Genomic DNA, 19,044 nt, shown 5'->3' with positions numbered 1-19,044 from the left:
TTGCCCAGGCTGGTCTCAAACTCCTGAGCTCAAGCAATCCTCTCGTCTGGGCTTCCCAAAGTGCTGGGATTCCAGGTGTTAGTCACCACGCCTGGCCACATTTTGTGTCTTGAATGGCATGGTAGTCAAAACTCCCCAGTGTTACCCTTAAGATGTGTCCATTTTAATATATGTAAATTTGACTTTAAACTTTAAGAAAGAAAATAAAAGTAGGCATTCGAGAAGAAGAGACTTTTGCTTCCAACAATATGGCAGACCAGACACCCAAACAAAAACTTGGATACAATAACTTGGATCCTTTTCAAGGTACAGCCAAATAGGAAACAAAGAGCAGCGTGAAACCCAGAGCAGCTGGGGCTGAAGCCATGGAGGCCCAGGGCATCACCAGTTATGGGCACCATGTCCTTGCGTGTCATGGCCCAGGACACAGGCCTTAGGCCCCAAGGAGGCAGGGAGTCAGACCCAACATAAAGCCAGGGCCACACCCTCAGTGAACTGACAGAGTAGGAAAATTCTCTCTGCAGGAGAAAAAGGAAGATGACAAGGAAACTAGGAAGATGACAAGGAAAAAACTTCCCCCATAAATTAATAACCACAGGCCTGTTCTCATGAATATTTTGGATCTGAATTTATTCTACATGCAAGATGGGAACTAAACTTCAAGCAGTCTTGGGTTTGGAGTGTCTTCTGGTGCCTCGTGGAAGTATAAGCTCACCCCCCAGGGAGAGACGGACTCCCAGCCTAGACACACCGATTCCCACGGATAAAGCTCTGACAAAGATGGAACGCGCAATGCAAAATTGCAAAACACGTGACACAACAAGCCACCATACGTGAGAGCTGGAAGAATTAACAGCAAACAGGATTTGCACCCCGGGGACTTCAGATGGTGGAATTCTGGTAGACAGACTCTAAAAGAAGGATGAGAAGAAGACACAGCATTTTTGAAAGTTTGTCCTCTTGTCTGTTGGTCGGGATGCGGCCACCAGTTGTATTCAGACTTCCATGCAAGAATTTCATTTACTACACCCAGTTCCTCTCATTCAACAAGAAACATTTGCACCCCAAGTGTTAGCTGTCCAGGGATCCCCAAATTCTGCATCTGTGAGATTAGAATGTGTCTCTAAAATGCAGGTTGAAGTGATACAAGCTCAGGTAATCCCTCCTCAACCCCTGGTTGGATTTCCTGCTCAGTCTGAATTCTGGGTCCCAATAGGACCCCTCTTCTCCCCTCCCCACCTGTGCTGGACAGCTCCTTCTTCCCTTCCTGGACTTTGGTGTGGGGCAGGGCCCACTCTTTTCATTTCCCCAAACCATCACCAACACAAGACTACTGAGCAGGGAGGACTTTATACCAAGGACTGAAGGATAACGTATGGGATTCTGCAGCATGACACTGAAAATCACTTTCCATGCAAGAGCAAACATCCCCTGGTGTGTATGGCGTCAGTGCTGTGGTTCCCAGCACTGTGGTCCCTCCCCGGAATCCCAACTGCCTGGGGACTCTGCCCCCCACCTCATGCTCTCTCCCCTCCACCCCTCCACCCTTCCACCCCTCCACCCTTCCACCCCTCCACCCCTCCACCCCTCCACCCCTCCACCCTTCCACCCCTCCACCCTTCCACCCCTCCACCCTTCCACCCCTCCACCCTTCCACCCTTCCACCCCTCCACCCCTCCACCCCTCCACTCTTCCACCCCTCCAGCCCTCCACCCCTCCAGCCCTCTACCCTTCCACCCCTCCACCCCTCCACCCCTCCACCTGGGCATTTCTTGCTGGGTTTCCTGCAGCTTCTCCTCCCAGGTCAGCCCCTGAGCCTCTGCTTTTCACACCTAAATAGTCCATCAGGATGTTCTGCTGAAAAAAGAAAAAAAAAAAAAGCCAGTTTTCTCCCTAAGAGGAACTCTGCATCCAGCTTTTAAAATCACGTTTCCCCTTCCTGCTCTGCATTTATTGAGCACTGACTGTGTTAGAAGACCTTCGGTAAGTGCTAGGGACACAAAGACAGAACTGGCAGGTGCTGTCCTCACCCGGAGTGACCACGTTGTCCTGCTCCGGGGTTCTAGCCTCAGTCTTGACAGCCCAGCCTCGGACACATCGCAAGATGCCACACACAGCATCCCAGTGGGCTCAGGGCACAGACGCACCACCCATGCACCCATGAATTGACACACAGGCTGCACACACACACACACACACACTCACACACATTCTCTCCGTGCTAATTCTCGCCTTTGATCACGGCCTCTCGTCTGTCATCACCACTCAATGTTGACAAAGCAAAATAAAAAGAAAGAAAGAAAGAAATTCGCCCTGTCACTTGGACTCCCCCCCGACCCCGACCAGGCTTGGCAGCCCCCACCCCCACCCCCGCCTTTGTATTATGGGTTTATGTCAAGGTATGTTGGATTCTAAATTAAATGTCAGCCCACTGTACATTTCTGGCTCCAGCCGCAGAAAATGAGGAGCTGGCGTTGGAGACCATCCAGTCATTCAGCTCCCCGTGCCTAACCGTGAGGGGTGACAAGCCCATTGAATCACTGCACAGTAGTTTTCCACGCCACAGAAGCCAAGATACATTTATTTTTAATGATAAATGTGACTGTCAGAGTCAAGTTGAAACAGCTTTATGGCGAGAGCTGAGTACCCTTGGCAGTGCGGGGCAGAGGCTGAGTGGATGGGGACCAGAGGTCCCGACCTTCTGGCCAGCCAGTCCCCCAGGCCCCGAGAGACTGGCACATTGGCTATTCTGCCCACGTCCGCTAAGCCCTGCTGCATGCTGGCTCAGCACGCTCACCGGGTGGCTCAGGCCCAGCTCTGGCAGACGAAGAGGCACCGAGGTATTGAAGAAAGAGAGATAGTCTCTGGAAGTGCACACACTAGGGTTCAAATTCTGCCCCACCGGCCAGGCGCAGTGGCTCATGCCTATAATCCCAGCACTTTGGGAGGCTGAGGTGGGCAATTCATGAGGTCAAGAGATCGAGACCATCCTGGCCAACATGGTGAAACCCTGTCTCTACTAAAAATACAAAAATTAGCTGGGCGTAGTGGCGTGTGCCTGTAGTCCTAGCTACTTGGGCGGCTGAGGCAGGAGAATCGCTTGAACCCGAGAGGTTGCAGAGAGCCAGTGAGCCGAGATTGCGTCACTGCACTCCAGCCTGGCGACAGATCGAGACTCCGTGTTAAAAAAAAAAAAAAATTCTGCCCCACCAATGGCTGTGTGGTCTTGATTGAGTTACTTAACCTCTCTGAGCTTCTGTTGCCTCATCTAGAAAATGAGGCTATTAATAACACTTACAGGTCTTGGGTGAGGATTACTTGAAATAAGATGGTATTGTTAATGGTATTGCTGTATCCAGCACATGGAAATGTTTGGTAAATGGTAATTCCATATTGATTTTTTTTTTTTGAGACAGTCTCACTCTGTCGCCAAGGCTGGAGTGCAGTGGCACGATCTCGGCTCACTGCAACATCTGCCTCCCAGGTTCTAAGTGATTCTCCTGCCTCAGCCTCCGGAGTAGCTGGGATTACAGGAGTGCACCACCACACCTGCTAATTTTGTATTTTTAGTAGGGATGGGGTATCACCATGTTGGCCAAGCTGGTCTCGAACTCCTGATCTCAGATGATCTACCTGCCTCGGTCTCCCAAAGTGCTGGAGTTACAGGTGTGAGCCACTGTGCCTGGCCCCATATTGATCGTATCATCTTATTAATTACACAATTACCCAGGTCATGTAATTTACCTTTCTGAATCAGTTTCCTCATCCACAAAGTGGGGACAATAGTATTCACTTATTAGGGGGCTGGGAGGATATGAGGTGCCCAGCACAGCGCTGAGCGTGAGGGTGCTTCCAACAGGTGGCTGTTGGTCACGGCTGGCACCCTGAATGTTGTCCCCCTATGTCCCTTGCTGCTCTTCCTTGTCTCCCCATGGACTATTTTTCCACCCCTCCCATGTCGCCGTACTGCCTGCCCTGCACCCACTCCCTGCTAAGGGAGGGGTCCTGCATTAGGGCCCCAGCAGCCATGCCCCCACATTGGACCTGACCAAGGTCTGATGGGTTGGTACCTGACCAAGGACAGCTGTCTTTGGCCATCTGCCACTTATGATTGATATGCCTGGTTCAGTCCTAGATAGGAGTTGCCCATTGGTGGGGCCATCATATCCAGGTGGCCTTGGAAAGGCAAAGTAGGAACAGGCAGAATTGGTGAGCCAGAAAGAGGAAGGTGAGGGGATGCGCAGAGAGTGAACAAGTTACCAGGCAACCTCGAGTCTAATACCATGCAGCCTCCCGGTCCTGTGTTCTGGCACCCTGAGGTGCTGGCTCGTCCCTGACAAGGAATGCTCAGTCTTGGGCTGGCTGGAAAGCCCTGATTCTGTCCTGTCCCACCTGCTGAGCACAGCCCAGCTCGCCCCCAGTGCTCTGTGGTCATCAGCCTTGTCAAAGGGAAATCCGAGGGTGGAGGGCCTGTCTGCTCTGTGGGGTCGGCTGCCCTTTCTCTCGCACAGATCTTGGCTGTGGGTCAGCACTGGCTTCTGGGATCCACTTCCATTTTATTCCTCTCCACCAATTCGGAGGCTCCAGTGAATGGGGGCGGCCCTCCCTTCTTCCAGAACGATGTCCTAAGTGTGTCTGCTGAGTGCAGTGTGTAAAGCGCTGAGCAGACGCCTGCAGGCTCATGCCAGTCCTGCATCACGGCTGACCCTTCTCCTGGGGTGTTGAGCAGAGGCGTCAGCACAGAGGGGGTGACAGAGTGAGGCCCGCTCCCGAAGACACACACGTAAGGCACTCCCGCAGGCTGAACCTGTGGCTGAGCAGGTGAGATGATTCAACCTCCAACCTCCTCCAACACTCCCAGCAGGAGCCGCTAGGTGGCCCCCGCTCACCTGTCCAACCGCGCTTCTGCAGGCCCGGGAGGCGATCCTCCAGAGCGTCCTCCGGTCCTCCGGTTTGCACCTGCCCAGGTACGCCCGGGTCACTCCCCTAGCTCCGCCTTCCCTTCTGCGGCCCCGCCATTGGAAATGCCTTTCCTTCAGCACCCAGACTTCTGGATGCTGCCTTCATGGGCCTTGGGGGCGGGCTCACACCCCTCCATCCCAGGATGCCTCCCTGACTACTCTGAGCACATCTCCAAGACCTCCTCCGTTGGTCCTTAGCACCCCTCCCGTGGGTTCTCAGTTCAGCCCCCCACCCCCGCTCCACCCCCCAGGGTGATCTTTCATCTGTGCACAAATGCGTCTGGAGTTTACATCCTCTCGCCAAACTGTGGAGTCAGAGCCTTGCATTTCCGCCACCTGCCCGCTTTGTGCCTGTAACTGCACAAGGGCCTGCAAACCTCGCCACTCCCCACCAATAGGCAAGTCCTTGTTTACGAGGAAACTGAGGCTTGGGGATGACGTGGAATCTGCCCAAGGTCACAGCAGGAACATCTGAGCCTTGCCCTGCTCAGGTGCTGTGATGCACTGTGGCAGAGCCCTTCTGAAGCGTGTGCAGTCAACCCTTTGGCTTACATGGGGAAACTGAGGCTCGGAGAGGTATGTTGCTTGCCCTCAGCCACACAGCCAGGGCCCTGTGCCCTCCACCACATCCTTCTTCCCAAGTCTGAGGGCCCTCTAGATCACCTGCTGACCCTCTTAATTCATAGGAAAGGCCGAGGGGCCAGAAAGGGCCAGAGGCCAGAATTGGAACCTGGGTCTCCTGACTCCCAGCCATTGCTGTGGGATCCTCTCCAACTCCCGGGCAGCCTCAGTCCGGGAAGCCGGGATCGGGCCGTAGGTGAGGCCAGCGGTTGTCCTGGAAGGAAAAGGCGGCTGGGGACAAACAGCCGGTGGTTTGTGAACCCAGCGCCTGGCGGGTGGCAGTCTCCTCGGATGGCACCGGGCCACAGGGTCCCCCGCTCCGGGGTCCAGGGAGTGCCCCAGCCCAGGCTGGACGCGGCCCCCACCCCCAACCAGTCTGCCCCGCCAGTGCCGGACGCGTAGAGGGATCGGGAGAGGGACGAAGATGGGGCGACAGACTGGCAGCCAGTGGGGGAGAGACGGAGACGGTGCCAGGGAACAGCGCGGCGGCCAAGGCGCCCCGGGAGCCGGAAAACAGCTTTGGGGAGAAGCGGGGGCGGGGAACGGGGGTCTGTCTGGAGCTGGGGGAGCAGAAAAAGATGGGGACGCAGAAAGGGGCGGAGGAGGGGCGGCCGGCGGGCTCGGCGGGGCGGCGGGAGGGGAGCGCGGCGTCGGGCAGTGTGGGCGCCTCCCGGTCAGAAGCCACAATAGCAGCTCGTTCGCCGCGCAGATTAAGGACTTTGTCAATTACCTCCGAAGGCCGCTCCGGGCGGATTAAATGCTTTTAAAAGTGCTGCTGGTGGGAAGGGGCAACTAAGAAGCCCCCTCCTGGCACAAATCCCCTCCCGGCGGAGGAGAAGGCGGGGGCTGGGACCACGCGGGGCGCGCCGGGGAGCGCGGGCGATCGGCCGGGAGCGCGGCCGAGCGCGGAGCGGCTGGTACTCGCGACCACAGCGCCGGCGGCTGTGGCAGTGGTGGGGACCCCCATTTCGCCCACGGGCCGCCCGGGCAAGGGGGCGTCGTGTGGGCTTTCCGACCGCGGGCGCGAGGGCACGGGTCTGCGGACGCGGACTGGGACGCCCACCGGCCAGGCTCACGCGTCGGGGTCCGGCGCAGGGAGGTCCCCGGGGGCTGGAGACCCCACAGCTGGGCGCACTTGCCCCGGGACCTGGACCCAGACCTCGGGGGCCCGCAGGGGGCGCACCCCACCGAAACTGCCCCCGGCGCAGCCTGGGTCTTGGGGCGAGCCCTGCGTCCTGAGCCGGGAGGGAGCCGGAAGGAGCGCCGCGCCACTCCCCGGAGACGCCGAACCGGCCGGCGGGGGCGCCCTCGGGGCCCGCCCCGCGCATGGTGACTTGTGTGAGTCCGGTCCGGGAGGAAGTTTGTGCAGAGGCGCCGCCGGGGGGCTCTCAGGCCCCTCCGGGAGCCAGCAGGAGCCGGGCCGCCCGCGGCTGTTTGCTGCCCTCCGGCCGGCCGCGTTATCTGGGGGCCAGTTCGGCCTCCTTTCCCTAGGTCTTTTCGGAGGCGGAGTTTAGTATCCAAGTCCGCGGGTGTGAGCGCGCGCGTGTGTGTGAGTGTGTCGGGGGAGGCCGAGGGGAGCAATAAAAAGCAAAGAGAGTCCGAGACCAGAAAAGATGCGGAGATTGAGAAGGAGGGAGGAGGGACGAGGGAGGAGAGAGAGGAGCGCGCCGGGGAGGCGCCGGAGCCGGGAGCGGGGACGGCGCGCAGCGCGAGCGGCGGGCGTTGGGCTGGCGGCTTTCGCGCTCCCGCTCCTGCTCCCGCCCGCACACAGCGGCGCGCTCATCCTCACACGCCCGCCCGCTCCCGGGCCGCCCCGGCGCGGGGCACAGAGGCGGGGACCCGGCGGACAGAGCGCGCCCCGCGCCCGCGCCCGCGCCCACCCCGTCTCCTTTGCGCTCCGCAGCGGCGCGCCTCGCCCGGCGCCCCCGCCAGTCCTGCCGGAAGATGGTCAACGACCGGTGGAAGACCATGGGCGGCGCTGCCCAACTTGAGGACCGGCCGCGCGACAAGCCGCAGGTACGCTCGGGCGCTGGGACACGGGGCCTGGGCGGCTGGCCAGGCGGTGGCCGCTCGGGCCGGCGGGGCGAGCACCCATTGCGGGGGCTGGAGTTTGGGGCGCACCCCTTCGAGGCTCCGGAGGCCCGGGCCGGGATGGGGACCCTCCTCTCCTCCTCCCCGAGCCGAGGCTTGAACTCGAGGTTCGGTGGGGGCGGCACCCCTGCAGGAGCCACGCGCGCTGCGGGCCAGGTCTCCCGCGTCCCCGCACCCCCAGCAGCCCCCTGGTGCACGCGGGTGCAGAGGGAGGCGGGGACTTACAGTTCGCTGTGTGTCCACAGACAAATCAGCCCCGTTGCTGAGTCTCCGTTTCCTCACCTCTACAATGGGCATCTTAACTACCCACAGAATCTCCACTCTGGGCGCTACCCTGTGCCAGGCACCTGGTCCTGAACCTGACCCCCTGAATCTCCTCTGCATCCTTCCCTTTAGCCAGGGCCCTGCATACAGTAGGGGATCAATAAAGATTCATCTCCTGCAGGAACGCTGGGTATTGTGATTTTCTGACTTTAAGACAAGGAAAGCAGGGCTCAGAGATGGTTGGCTCCTGCCTGAGGCCACGCAGCTCTGTCGGGATTTGAACCCTTGTCTGTGTGCTCCAGGGCTGACTCATTCCTCCCTTCCTGCTGCCTCTTCAGGGGCAGTGGAGGTGGGGCTTGGAGGGTGCCCAGGGCTGTGCGGTGGAAGCGGGTGAGGGCAGAACACCTGGGCTGGCCAGCAAGGGGGCTGGAGTCCCGAAGCCAAGGCGGAGGGGAGCCCCAGGGCTGCCCCAGGCTGGGCTGCCAAGGGACTGGGGCAGGCAGGCGAAAACGAGGAGGCCGCTCGCTCACCAAGGAGAGGAGAGAATAGGGCTGCCCATTTTAAATTTTAAATTTCTTCCAGACAGATGTCATTGGGGAAGGAACAGTTCGTGCTTGCAGCTGCAGGAGGGGGCGGCACGGGCAGCCCTTGGTGGTCCCTTCCTCTCAGGAGCTGCAACCTGCTCATTCTTCCTGGTGTGACACTGCCGTGGCACAAGGGCCCAGCCCTCTGCGGTTTGCAAAGCCCCTTCCCATTCATCGGCACTACCTCACTTCTCCAAACAGGCTGGGGGCCAGTGCGTTCCCACATCACAGACCAGGGATCAGAGAGGTTCGGAACATGCCCAAGTCACACAGCACGTTGGCAAGAGAGTGGGGATTCAAACTCTGGTCTAACCACACACCTATCCCACTGCTTCTCCGGGGTGGTCGCGCCCCTCTTTTAGGTCAGGTCTGCACCTAAGCCACCCCAAAATAACAAGTCCCCTCCTGCTGAGATCTGACTTCTCCCCCTTAGCAAGAACTGTCTTAACTTCTAGACCTGTCCTCCAAGGCCATCCCTAACCTGGCATACTGTGCCTTCCCATTGGTCCCTTACAGGCAGTGACTGTTTGTTATTTGCCAACCCTGGGCCCCACACCACGCCGCTCCATTTCCAGATCTTTTCTGTGTCATCTTGTTTGCTTCCCCAGCCTTACACAAACACACACACACACACACACACCCCTTCACTCAGGGACACCCTACATATACTCAAAATCAAGCTCAAATGCTGCCACCTCCTCCAGGAAGACTTCCTGATGCCCTGTGGCTATGTCTCTAAGTTCTAGTAGTGTTTAGCCTGTGCCACTCAGCTGCCTTGTCCTGGGCCCCTCCTGCATCAGGAGATCCCTTTGGACACACCCTCCTCTGGAGCCCATCTCTGCATCTCTCCCTGGGCCCAAGCTCCATTCTTTCCAGGCAGCTCAGGTCAGGCATTGAGAGCGTTTGCTGAATGGCACTGCATGACGCTTCGGCCAGGAAGAGCCTCAGGAGACGGCCAGCAGGCACTGGTCTGTCTCAAGGGGAGGTGCCTTCTGGGGAATGTGTTTGAAATGTGGCTTCAAGGCCTCCAGGCCGGGCCCCGCCTTCCTCTGCTGCTCCCTGGGGGCACAGCTTTCAGCCCCCACACAGCCCAGCTGTCTGCCCCTTGGCATTGGAGGAAGCTCGAGGGCTGTTGCTCCAAGAGCCTGGGCCAATAGCAAGCACCCGCTTCCCCTCCCCGCCCGTTTGGTGACCCAGCATGTAGACAGGCTGTTCCCTGTGCCAGCTCTGGGCTTGTTTGAAGCTTCAGACAAGAGGCAAGGCCTTTCCTGTGGCCACTGTCAGAAGAAAGAGAGAACACTGCTTGCCCTGGTTCCCTTGGGCCTGCCCTCTCCTGGGCCAGCCTTCTCTCCTCCCTTGTGGCCAGGTTTGTCTCACCCACTGACATGCTGTGTGGCCCTGGGTAAGTTACTCCTCCTCTCTGGGCCTGGGCTTCACCATCTGTAAAGTGGGAACAGCAATCTTCGCTTCCTCCTCATTTCACAAGGGCTGTTATGGGGGCCACGTGACATACTGGTGTGTTTTGCAAACTGCAAAGCACTGTGTACTCATGAGGAGGATGCCTCTCGCAGCAGCCTGTCCCTTCCACAGGCTGGCTGTGTCCCGGTCTCCTCTCTGCCCCCCAGGAAACGCCATCTGAACATCTGGTTCCTACAAACGGGGCCTGGCCGAGGTTCTTTAACGGGGATTTTCCTCTGGGAGCATAACGCTGACGCCGCACTCCAAGCACCAGTAGGTCACAGGCCACGACTAAGATTCATTTCTTAGTCACAGCCACCCTAGGAGCTTGGTGGCAGGAGTGATGAACCCATTTGACAGATGAGGAAACTGAGACTAAGAGCTGGAGCTGGGACTCAAACCTGGGTCTTCTTGGACAGCAGACAAGTGCCTAAGGGGTGGCTGGCCGCCCTTTCTTGGTTCAGCCCACTCAGCCCCAGTTGGGACTGCAGTGTCCAGGCTGTGTGGTTCTCAGGGTACCGAAATCACCCGCTGTGAGTGGGTATAGCCCAGGTCCGGAGGTCCTGAAGGACCTTTGTCCAAGTGCAGCCATTTCTGGGAAACGCCTTGGGCCCCATCTGTCCCAGCCCTATCCAGCCTCAGCTACTCTTTGTCGGGCGACCTTGGACAAGTTGCCGATTTGGACTTTGTTAATGCGTCCTCCCTCTCCCTACAGAAGGAGGAGCCTCTCACGCCCTTGGGGCAGGGTGAAACGGTATTTGCCAGGAGTTTGGAGTTTGTCAGATGAAAGGATCTAGAAATAGACATGATTCTTCTGGTCTTGGAGCTTGGGGCAGGAAGTCACTCTGCAACCGTTTCCTCTGGTCAGAGGGGCTTGTTTCTGAGCTGTCTCCAAGCCACCCTACAGGGAGGTCAACTTCCAACCCATCCCAGGCAAGATCTCTTGACGCTTTCAAAATTTCTAAGAACATTTCAGAAAGGAAGAAAGAAAATCTCTTTGGGAAGTTCTTCCTGATGTCTAACCTAAATCCCTGCTGCATTAAATTTACTCAGTGACTATTTAGGGAGGCCCTACCTAATGCTAGGAGGTATAGTCTGGTGGATACAGTCTGTGCCTCAGGGAGCTTAGAGTCTCACGGGGGGAACAAACTCACAGGTCGGGGCGATTGCAAACCATCATGGGTTCTGGAAGATCCATGCCTCTTTCTTCTTGTTCCCTGGGGTTTGGGTTGAGGTCACTGTGCTAGGCTTGGGGTTTCCCAAGCCCCTCCTTCTGAGCTCACTGTTTAGCTGGGGAGTGGTGTGGCTGAGGAGGTAGAATGGACAGGAGCAGGTGACTATCCAGATGTTGGGTGAGGGAGGGAGACCTGAGGAGGTGCCAGCTTTGTGGGGGCAACAGGTAGGGTTGGTGCCATCCCCGAGTGAAAAATAGGAGGGCTCAGGTTTGGGGTGGAGAGACGCTGGTTTGGGCCTCAGTGGGCTTGAGGCCCCAGTGGGCCCTCTGGGAGGCCAGAGCTGTATGTCGCGGGGAGGGTGGGCAAGACCCTTATAGGAAACATCTGGAGAAGCCCCCTCCGTGGTTCAGAGCAAATGCTCCCAGGAAGTGAGACAGCTGGGGGGCTTGGAACCTCCCGGAGGGGCAGAGGCTGGGAGCTCTGTGGGGCGCTCTTGTCCCCTTGGACACCTTCAGCCCCTCCTGCGCCCCTCCCTGTGGCCTGAGACGCCAGATGGCCCTCGGCAGGGTTCTGCTGAAGGGTCCCCAGCGGTATGGCGGTTCCCGCTCAGATCTCACAGAACAAGCCTGCAGACCCCCTTCCTAAGTCTTTGGGACCCCAGAATGGTGAGCAGAGCCACCAACCCTTCACCCCCAGGGGAGTCTCTGGGACCCTCCCTCTGCCAGGGCCAGGGCTCAGAGTTCAGCCCTTACTGGGAGCCATGTGCCCAGCCATGTGCCAGCCGGGAGCAGAGTGGGCTCCTGGGGAGACAGGAGGAATTCCCCTGAGGCTCTGGCCTGAGGCAGGGCCCAGTCCCCTCAACCCACAGAGCCCATAAGCCCCCTGCCCAGGCTCTGTGCAAGCCTCTGCTGGATCCAGAGCCCACAGGACCCCGCCACCTTCAGCTTTCCATTTCCCAGTGCAAAGCCCCAGGATGTGTTTTTGTCATGCAGAACAGCTGCCTGCGTTGGGCTGGGTGCTCTTAGGAGATGGGGGTGGGCGGCAGGAGGGGCACTCACCTGGGTCTAACCTGGCCTGGCCTCCCCCGGAGGGAAACTTTCTTCTTCCTCCTTTCATCTGTGGAGTGTGGTCCCAGTCTCCCCAGGGGACTCCTGCCAGCCAGCTCTCTTAGGAAGTGAGGAGGAAGGGAGGTGTGCCAGCTTAGCAGAGCGCCTTGGCATCAAATCCCTTCCTCCTGAGCCGCCCCCCCCCCACCCGCCCGCCGCTTCCCCAGAACCCCCAAGGCTGGGGTCTCAGAGAAGGTAGCCTGGACAGAGGTCACCCTGTAACTGAGACACCACCGGGGGCTGCCTGCCGCCCTGCTGGCATGAGCTTTATCCTCCTTTTGGCCAAGGCTTCGTAGGCAGCCGTGAACCCTGGGTGGGCACTGGGGGTCACTCGAGGAACCAAGCTGGGTCCCTCCAGCTGGAAGCTCATGCGAGTGGTCAGTGGCAGAAGTGGGCTTTGAACCCAGGGCTCCCGGCTCAGGCCCCGGTCTCTCTCCTGCTCACTTGCCCGAGATGCCCTGTCTTGGGAGCTGGGGGCTCTGTGTGCATCCTCCCCATTCCGCAGCCCCCAGGGAGTGCACCCAGCTCAGCCACACCAGGACGGATGAATCAGCTCCAGCCTCAGGCATACCAGTTGGGCTGCTCAGCGCCCAGAGCCCCCCTTGTTATCTCGGGCAGATTTCTTCGCAAGGCACGTAAACGGCAGCCCATAAAAGCGAACAGTACTTCATCTTTAAGGTGATCTCTGAAGACTAATTCTCCTCTGCTGAGTGCCCTGTTTCATCTCCAAGCTCCGCTGTCCCCCTGCCTCTAGGGGACCCCCTGCGGCTTCCTCGAGCCCCTCCCCATTTCGGTGCCCTCTGCCTTCCCACCAGGGAGGGGCTTGGGTGGGAGGAGGGTGCAAGATAGGGCAGGGGTGTGGGAGTTGCAGAGGGGAGACGGATGACCTCTCTGCCACGCCAGCCCCAGCCTCGCCCGCCAGGGGACCTTAATGCTACACAGTCTGATGATGCAGCCCTGAGCTGCTCGGGGCAAGGTGTCTCCCGACGGGCTCCAGAAGAGTGCATGACAGGGACTTGGCTGCTGACACAGAGCTTTGTATATCAAACCCAGCCATACTTTAGGCAGGGAAGGAAATCATAGAACGGCCCAGTTAGCGGCCCTGGCACAGAGGCAGTTGAATGAATGAGTGAGTAAAAGAAGTCAAAGGCCACAACAATCTGTCTTGTAAGCACCCTAACGGGGGGAGCACAGAGGAGGAGCCCCTCCAAGCTGGGGGGAGTGGAGTAGAAACAGTCAAGGAAGGCTTCCTGGAGGAAGTGACAGCTAGCTGAGCCCTGAAAGAAGAGAATACATTAGGCCAGTGGAAAAGGAGGAGGGGAAGCAGATGCTTCTGGCTGGCCAAGGGAGCAGTTTGTGCAGAGCTGGTGGAGGGGAACTGTGCATTTGGGTCTGGCTGGAGTAAATTGTCTTGATGCGTGGAGCCCGGAATGGACGCGGCCCCCAAGAGAACTGGGCAGGCGTGGAGCACTGAGTCCTGGCAGCCGCATGACAATAGGGACAGGCCAAGAAACTCTCTTCCGCATCCTGACAACAAAGCAGATCTCTTTCCCGGGGGTCTGCATGTCCAGGCGCATGTCCCCTCCACCCCGTCCTCTTCGGGTGCCAAGTAGGTCATCCGGCAGGTCCTTGTGGAATTTGAATTTACAAAAATGATTCTTTCCTCTGCCTCATCTTCTAGGTAGTAAGACACAATGATGTAAGAGGCATCTGTCTCTGTTCAATGTATCACTAAGAAAGCAAGCAAGCTGTCAATTACGATTGTAAGATGTCCCCCCATGTTGGAGATGCTAAAACGTGAAAAAAAGAGAACATGCGTCCCAGCATTGACGACACACAGAAATAACACTTTGGGTGGAAAAAAATGTCCTCCAGATGCTGTGTGCACATTGATCATGGGATAATGAAAGCCACTAATATTTACTGTGCCAGCACAACGTGCCAGGCACGGCTCCAAGTGCTTTAATATACGAAGTCATTTCAAGACAAGTCTCAAATTCGGAAAGTTGAAAAGGTGGGGAAAATGTGTCTGAGAGTTGAGGAAATTCAATCATAGGAGGGGCCTGGCCCAGAGAGGAAGGCAGGAGGCTCGGGGCCTAATCCCAGTTCTGCTTTTATTTGCAGTGTGATTCTGGGAGAGCCCCTTGCCCTCTCTGGGCCTCAGTTTTCCCTTGTGTGTAATGCTCAGGGGCCATGAGCGAGTCTGCCCAGTGAATCTGGGCCTCCGAGAGCGTGTGCGGCCACGCTCTGGCACCTCCGCTCACCACAAGCTGTTCCTTGGTCCTGGCTTCTGGCCAACACAGTTTTTTATCGCGCCTGCCCTTCGTTTCCGTTTTTGTTTTTTGTTTTTTGTTTTTTGTTTTTTTGAGACGGAGTCTAGCTCTGTCTCCAGGCTAGAGTTCAGTGTCATGGTCTTGGCTCACTGTAACCTCCACCTCCCAAGTTCAAGGAATTCTCGTGCCTCAGCCTCCCGAGTAGCTGGGATTTACAGGCATGTGCCACCATGCCCAGCTAATTTTTGTATTTTTAGTAGAGATGGGGTTTCACCTTGTTGGCCAGGATGGTCTCGATCTCCTGACCTTGTGATCTGCCCGCCTCGGCCTCCCAAGTGCTGGGCTTACAGGCGTGAGCTACCTCGCCGGGTCCCGTTCCTGGTTTTGAGATATGGCTTGTTCTGGAGTGACAGCCACCTGTTGCCTCAGCCCCCCTCCTCCTTGGAGGGCAGCAGGCCTCTTCTCCAGGGTGGCCTTAGGGCTACCTGGCCCAGCGGGTTGGCATTTGCTCTGCCAGGGGCCTGCTCTGTGAAGAGATAGAGGAAGGAGAGAGGATGGGGTGGGGTGCGGGGAGGAGGTGCCTAGGAGCCCCCATGTGCCCTGGGGACTGGAGAACAGCAGGACAGAACACGGGATGTGGCTGCTGCAGTTGGAAGGGACCTTCCGTGATGGGTGCCCGCTACCCCAGGGCACTCGTTCCCAGAGACAGCACGAGACCATCTATAGCATCGCTGCTGTTGCATCACAGCTCTCTCTGACCAGTGTATAGAGAGGTGGGTGTCTCTATATTGCTCTGTTTTACAGGCGAGGAAACTGAGGCTCAGAGAGGTGAGGCCCCTGGCCCAAGGTCACACTGTGGGAAATGCAGCTTAGAGGCCTGAGCCCTGTCCCGTCTGGCTGCAGAGGTGGGATCTCCACCTCCAGCCCTTACTGGGTGGTGTGGGCTCCACGGGGGCCACACGGCCACACACACAGGTGACCGTGGGTCCCTGGGCTGTCACTGTGCAGGGCATGGGGGGAGGTGGGTGGCAGGGGCAGCGAGAGGGAAGGCTTGGCATTCTGCTTGTGTCTTTGTGTCTTTCTGCCTCAGTTTCTATTTCCCATCCTGTCCGTCTCCATCTCCCTGCATCTCCCCGCGTCTCCCTGCGTCTCCCCGCATCTCCCCATGTCTCCCCGTGTCTCCCCGCGTCTCCCCGCATCTCCCCATGTCTCCCCGCATCTCCCTGCGTCTCCCTGTGTCTCCCTGCATCTCCCTGCGTCTCCCCGCGTCTCCCCGTCTCTCCCTATGTCTCCACCTCCCCTCTGGGGCTCTGTCTCTCTCCACTTTCTCCCTGAGGCGCTCACTGTGTCCCTCTCACTGCATCTGTGGCTGTCCCTGTCTCTCTGTCTCCCCTTGGACTGTCTCTCAGTGCCTGTCTCATCTCAGTCTCTGTGCCACGCCCTTGCCCAGCCCCCCAAGAAGGGGGTCCTCTGACCCCAGGTATGCCTCTAATGCTGGCCCCTTCTCTCTCCCGTCTGTCTGTCTGTGTCTGTGCGTCCCGGGCGGGCCTGCAGCGGCCGAGCTGCGGCTACGTGCTGTGCACCGTGCTGCTGGCCCTGGCTGTGCTGCTGGCTGTAGCTGTCACCGGTGCCGTGCTCTTCCTGAACCACGCCCACGCGCCGGGCACGGCGCCCCCACCTGTCGTCAGCACTGGGGCTGCCAGCGCCAACAGCGCCCTGGTCACTGTGGAAAGGGCGGACAGCTCGCACCTCAGCATCCTCATTGACCCGCGCTGCCCCGACCTCACCGACAGCTTCGCACGCCTGGAGAGCGCCCAGGCCTCGGTGCTGCAGGCGCTGACAGAGCACCAGGCCCAGCCACGGCTGGTGGGCGACCAGGAGCAGGAGCTGCTGGACACGCTGGCCGACCAGCTGCCCCGGCTGCTGGCCCGAGCCTCAGAGCTGCAGACGGAGTGCATGGGGCTGCGGAAGGGGCATGGCACGCTGGGCCAGGGCCTCAGCGCCCTGCAGAGTGAGCAGGGCCGCCTCATCCAGGTAGGGCTGGGGTCTGCATCTTGGGGTCTTGCTGGAGGCGAGGGGTTGGTGCTGCTGCTGCCATGTGCCAGGCGCCTGATGTCCATGGCCTCACTTAATCCCCAAGGCCCCAGACAAGGGGCTACTGCTGTTCCCATCTACAGACAAGCCCATGAAGCTCAGGGAGGCGCAGTCACTCATCCAGGGCCGCACAGCTACTGGGAGCCAGGATTCAAATCCTGTTTCTTTCCCGGTGACCCGGTAAACTGTACAGCACCCCACGGCACTTGGCACTCAGTAAATCCAGGGCTTGGGGCTTCCCCAGTGCTCCAGGGTACAGGTGAGGCAGGGCATTCCCCCATCAGGAGCAAATCGAGGCTCAGAGAGGGGATGCGACTTGCTGAAGGGCATGTGGCTGATCAGTGCTACCCCCTCAGAGCCGCACCCCATCTCTCCATACCCCCTCCCAGTTCACACCATGCAATACCCACAGCTTCCCAGGGACAGAGAGACCAGTCCAGGCAGCCCAGCCAGACCCCTAGCCTGTCCCAAACCACCTCCACCCTCCCCACCCCTGCCCCCAGCCAAGCCAGGCTCCAGCCAGCTCCAGGTGGGTCTGGGTGAAGGCTTTCCAGCTTCGGCTCTGAGACCATGCTGGAAGCACCACCCACAAGAAGTTCCTCCTTCATAGGATGAGGGATTTGGGATCGTCTCATCTGCCTCCACCATTTTCCAAGACAGAAAATGGTGGCCTAGAAATGGGTGGTGATTTTTCCTGGGTGCCGTGGCCAGGTCAGACCTGGAATCCAGCCCCTGCTGGAGCCCTGCCCGGCCCCTGGCCCTGTGCCACGTTCTCCCGGTGACTCAGATCCCTGGAGGCTAGGAGCCAAGCCCCTGCCCCCACGGGCGCCCAAGCCCCTTCCGCCCCACCGCCCCCAGCAGCCACTGAGAGATCCAGGCATTTGGTCACTCAGCTGCTCATGAGCAATGGGCCCTTTCCCTCCCTTTGAAGGCAGCAGCTGGAGAAATTACAGTCCTCATCACCCTGTCTGGGTGACTGATGGGAAGGTGGCTTCCCCCTCCCGGGGTAGAGGGATGTTTAGACCGCCTTCCAGCTGCCCCTCCATGTGCAACTTCCCCAGGCCTCATCAGCAGGGCTGGGGGCTGGGGGTACCTCCTGACTTTCTGGCTGACCTGGGACCCCCACCTCACTCCAAATTGCTCAGCCCCTGGTCAGCTCAGGCCCAGTTCATGAAGGCCCACCCTTAGAGCTGGGGTGGGGTATTTAGAAGGAGGGACCCCAGAGTCCTGCCCTCCCAATAGCCTGCGCAGAGGTACAGAGTATTCCCACAAGACTAACAGCCTTTCTGGGCCCAGGAGTGCCAGCTCACCTGACATATTTACTTCCCCAAAAATGTTTGATTTGACTCATTCCCCACAGACTGGATGATTCAAGAGACAGTGGGTCTTTATGTTTCATTCAGAGGCAGCGAGCCGTGCTCCTAACTCCTCCCTTCCAAGCTTCCCAGACCCTCAGCTGATCAGCACAGATGTGGGTTTCTCAAAGCTGTGCCTACAGGCAGCCTGGGTTGGAATCGCCAGAGGTGCTTGTTAAAAGGCAGCTTCCCGGCCAGGTGCAGTGGCTCATGCTGTAATCCCAGCACTTTGGGAAGCCGAGGCGGGCAGATCACTTGAGGTCAGGAGTTCAAAACCAGCCTGGCCAACATGGTGAAACCCCGTCTCGACTAAAAATACAAAAATTAGCCAGGCGGGCGCCTGTAATCCCAGCTACTCAGGAGGCTGAGGCAGGGAAATTGCTCGAACCCGGAAGGCAGAGGTTGCAGTGAGCCGAGATCACGCCACTGCACTCCAGCCTGAGCAACAGAGCGAGACTCTGTCTCAAAAAAAGGAAAAGGCAAGTTCCTGGGCCTCATCCCCAACCCCCTGCAGCCCCCCAGCCGGGGTTGATTCTCATGTGTAGTCCCTGAGGCCTGCTGGTCACGGCTGAGCTGAGCCATTCTGCCCTGAGGGTGTGAGTCCGCAGAGCTGGGATCCAGTCCAGGCCCCATCTGTGCCAGCTGTGGGATGCCGGGCAGGTTGCTTCCCCTCTCTGGGCTGGGTCTTGTCACCCGTGAGATGTGCATAACACAGTCTATGCTGAGGGGATATTGGAGCGCCTGGCTACAGGGCTTGGCTGGCTCTGTCACGTGGGGGATACTCATGGTCTGCACCATCAACGTCTCCTTATTATTATAGTAGAAATTGTTTGTGAGCTGAAATTTAAACCTATAGGGAGCCACCATGCCACTATTGAAAACTCCCTTTTCTTTTTTCTTTTTTTTTTTTCGAGACAGTCTTACTCCGTCACCCATGCTAGAGAGCAGTGGCACAATCAGGGCTTACTGCAACCTCCACCTCCTGGGCTCAGACAATCCTCCCACCTCAGCCTTCTAAGTAGCAGTCACTACAAGTGTGCACCACCATGTCTAGCTAATTTT

At 58.4% G+C, this 19,044-nt stretch overlaps 1 protein-coding gene and 1 long non-coding RNA gene across 5 annotated transcripts in view, besides 9 other annotated features; one reads left to right on the top strand and one right to left on the bottom strand.

Annotated features, from left to right (window-relative positions):
* Window positions 1-613: 613 nt before the first annotated feature.
* On the bottom strand, window positions 614-5,788 carry FIBCD1-AS1 (FIBCD1 antisense RNA 1). Its single transcript, XR_930398.3, has 3 exons — window positions 5,692-5,788; window positions 1,762-1,854; window positions 614-911 (listed from the first exon to the last, which is right to left on the bottom strand). It is a non-coding gene; the product is annotated as an FIBCD1 antisense RNA 1 (long non-coding RNA).
* Window positions 2,648-2,821: a silencer, noted in NCBI's record as "fragment chr9:133818700-133818873 (GRCh37/hg19 assembly coordinates)". NCBI's record gives its function as "represses an EF-1alpha promoter that drives an FKBP-Casp9 reporter gene in an ReSE screen in phorbol 12-myristate 13-acetate-treated (for megakaryocytic differentiation) K562 erythroleukemia cells {active_cell/tissue: K562(+PMA)}" and the evidence as "EXISTENCE:reporter gene assay evidence [ECO:0000049][PMID:32094911]".
* Window positions 4,590-4,809: an enhancer, noted in NCBI's record as "active region_29168". NCBI's record gives its function as "activates an Ori minimal core promoter by ATAC-STARR-seq in GM12878 lymphoblastoid cells {active_cell/tissue: GM12878}" and the evidence as "EXISTENCE:reporter gene assay evidence [ECO:0000049][PMID:35858748]".
* Window positions 4,590-5,032: a biological region, named in NCBI's record as "Sharpr-MPRA regulatory region 15615".
* Window positions 4,738-5,032: a silencer, noted in NCBI's record as "tiled region #15615; HepG2 Repressive DNase unmatched - State 20:ReprD, and K562 Repressive DNase unmatched - State 25:Art". NCBI's record gives its function as "represses a minimal TATA promoter and a strong SV40 promoter by Sharpr-MPRA in HepG2 and K562 cells {active_cell/tissue: HepG2 | K562}" and the evidence as "EXISTENCE:reporter gene assay evidence [ECO:0000049][PMID:27701403]".
* Window positions 5,425-19,044, top strand: part of FIBCD1 (fibrinogen C domain containing 1) — a 38,270-nt gene continuing 24,650 nt past the window's right edge. The window contains exons 1-3 of one of the 4 annotated variants that reach the window (XM_047423989.1): window positions 5,425-5,537; window positions 7,486-7,598; window positions 16,088-16,567. In XM_047423989.1, coding sequence (XP_047279945.1) covers window positions 7,527-7,598; window positions 16,088-16,567 — 552 coding nt within the window. In that variant the 5' untranslated portion in view covers window positions 5,425-5,537; window positions 7,486-7,526. Of the gene's footprint in view, window positions 5,538-6,886; window positions 7,599-7,918; window positions 9,924-16,087; window positions 16,568-19,044 lie in introns of those variants that run through there. The other 3 variants (NM_001145106.2, NM_032843.5, XM_047423990.1) reach the window with 3 other exon arrangements.
* Window positions 6,255-7,185: an enhancer, noted in NCBI's record as "H3K27ac-H3K4me1 hESC enhancer chr9:133814336-133815266 (GRCh37/hg19 assembly coordinates)". NCBI's record gives its function as "activates a minimal SCP1, AML or CMV promoter by ChIP-STARR-seq in naive H9 embryonic stem cells {active_cell/tissue: H9 hESC(naive)}" and the evidence as "EXISTENCE:reporter gene assay evidence [ECO:0000049][PMID:30033119]".
* Window positions 6,801-7,010: a silencer, noted in NCBI's record as "silent region_20409". NCBI's record gives its function as "represses an Ori minimal core promoter by ATAC-STARR-seq in GM12878 lymphoblastoid cells {active_cell/tissue: GM12878}" and the evidence as "EXISTENCE:reporter gene assay evidence [ECO:0000049][PMID:35858748]".
* Window positions 14,152-14,281: an enhancer, noted in NCBI's record as "active region_29167". NCBI's record gives its function as "activates an Ori minimal core promoter by ATAC-STARR-seq in GM12878 lymphoblastoid cells {active_cell/tissue: GM12878}" and the evidence as "EXISTENCE:reporter gene assay evidence [ECO:0000049][PMID:35858748]".
* Window positions 14,682-14,731: an enhancer, noted in NCBI's record as "active region_29166". NCBI's record gives its function as "activates an Ori minimal core promoter by ATAC-STARR-seq in GM12878 lymphoblastoid cells {active_cell/tissue: GM12878}" and the evidence as "EXISTENCE:reporter gene assay evidence [ECO:0000049][PMID:35858748]".
* Window positions 15,858-16,402: an enhancer, noted in NCBI's record as "H3K27ac-H3K4me1 hESC enhancer chr9:133805119-133805663 (GRCh37/hg19 assembly coordinates)". NCBI's record gives its function as "activates a minimal SCP1, AML or CMV promoter by ChIP-STARR-seq in primed H9 embryonic stem cells {active_cell/tissue: H9 hESC(primed)}" and the evidence as "EXISTENCE:reporter gene assay evidence [ECO:0000049][PMID:30033119]".

Source organism: Homo sapiens, chromosome 9, assembly GCF_000001405.40.
Source record: "Homo sapiens chromosome 9, GRCh38.p14 Primary Assembly".
NCBI lineage: Eukaryota > Metazoa > Chordata > Mammalia > Primates > Hominidae > Homo > Homo sapiens.
This window is presented reverse-complemented; position numbering and strand designations above follow the sequence as displayed.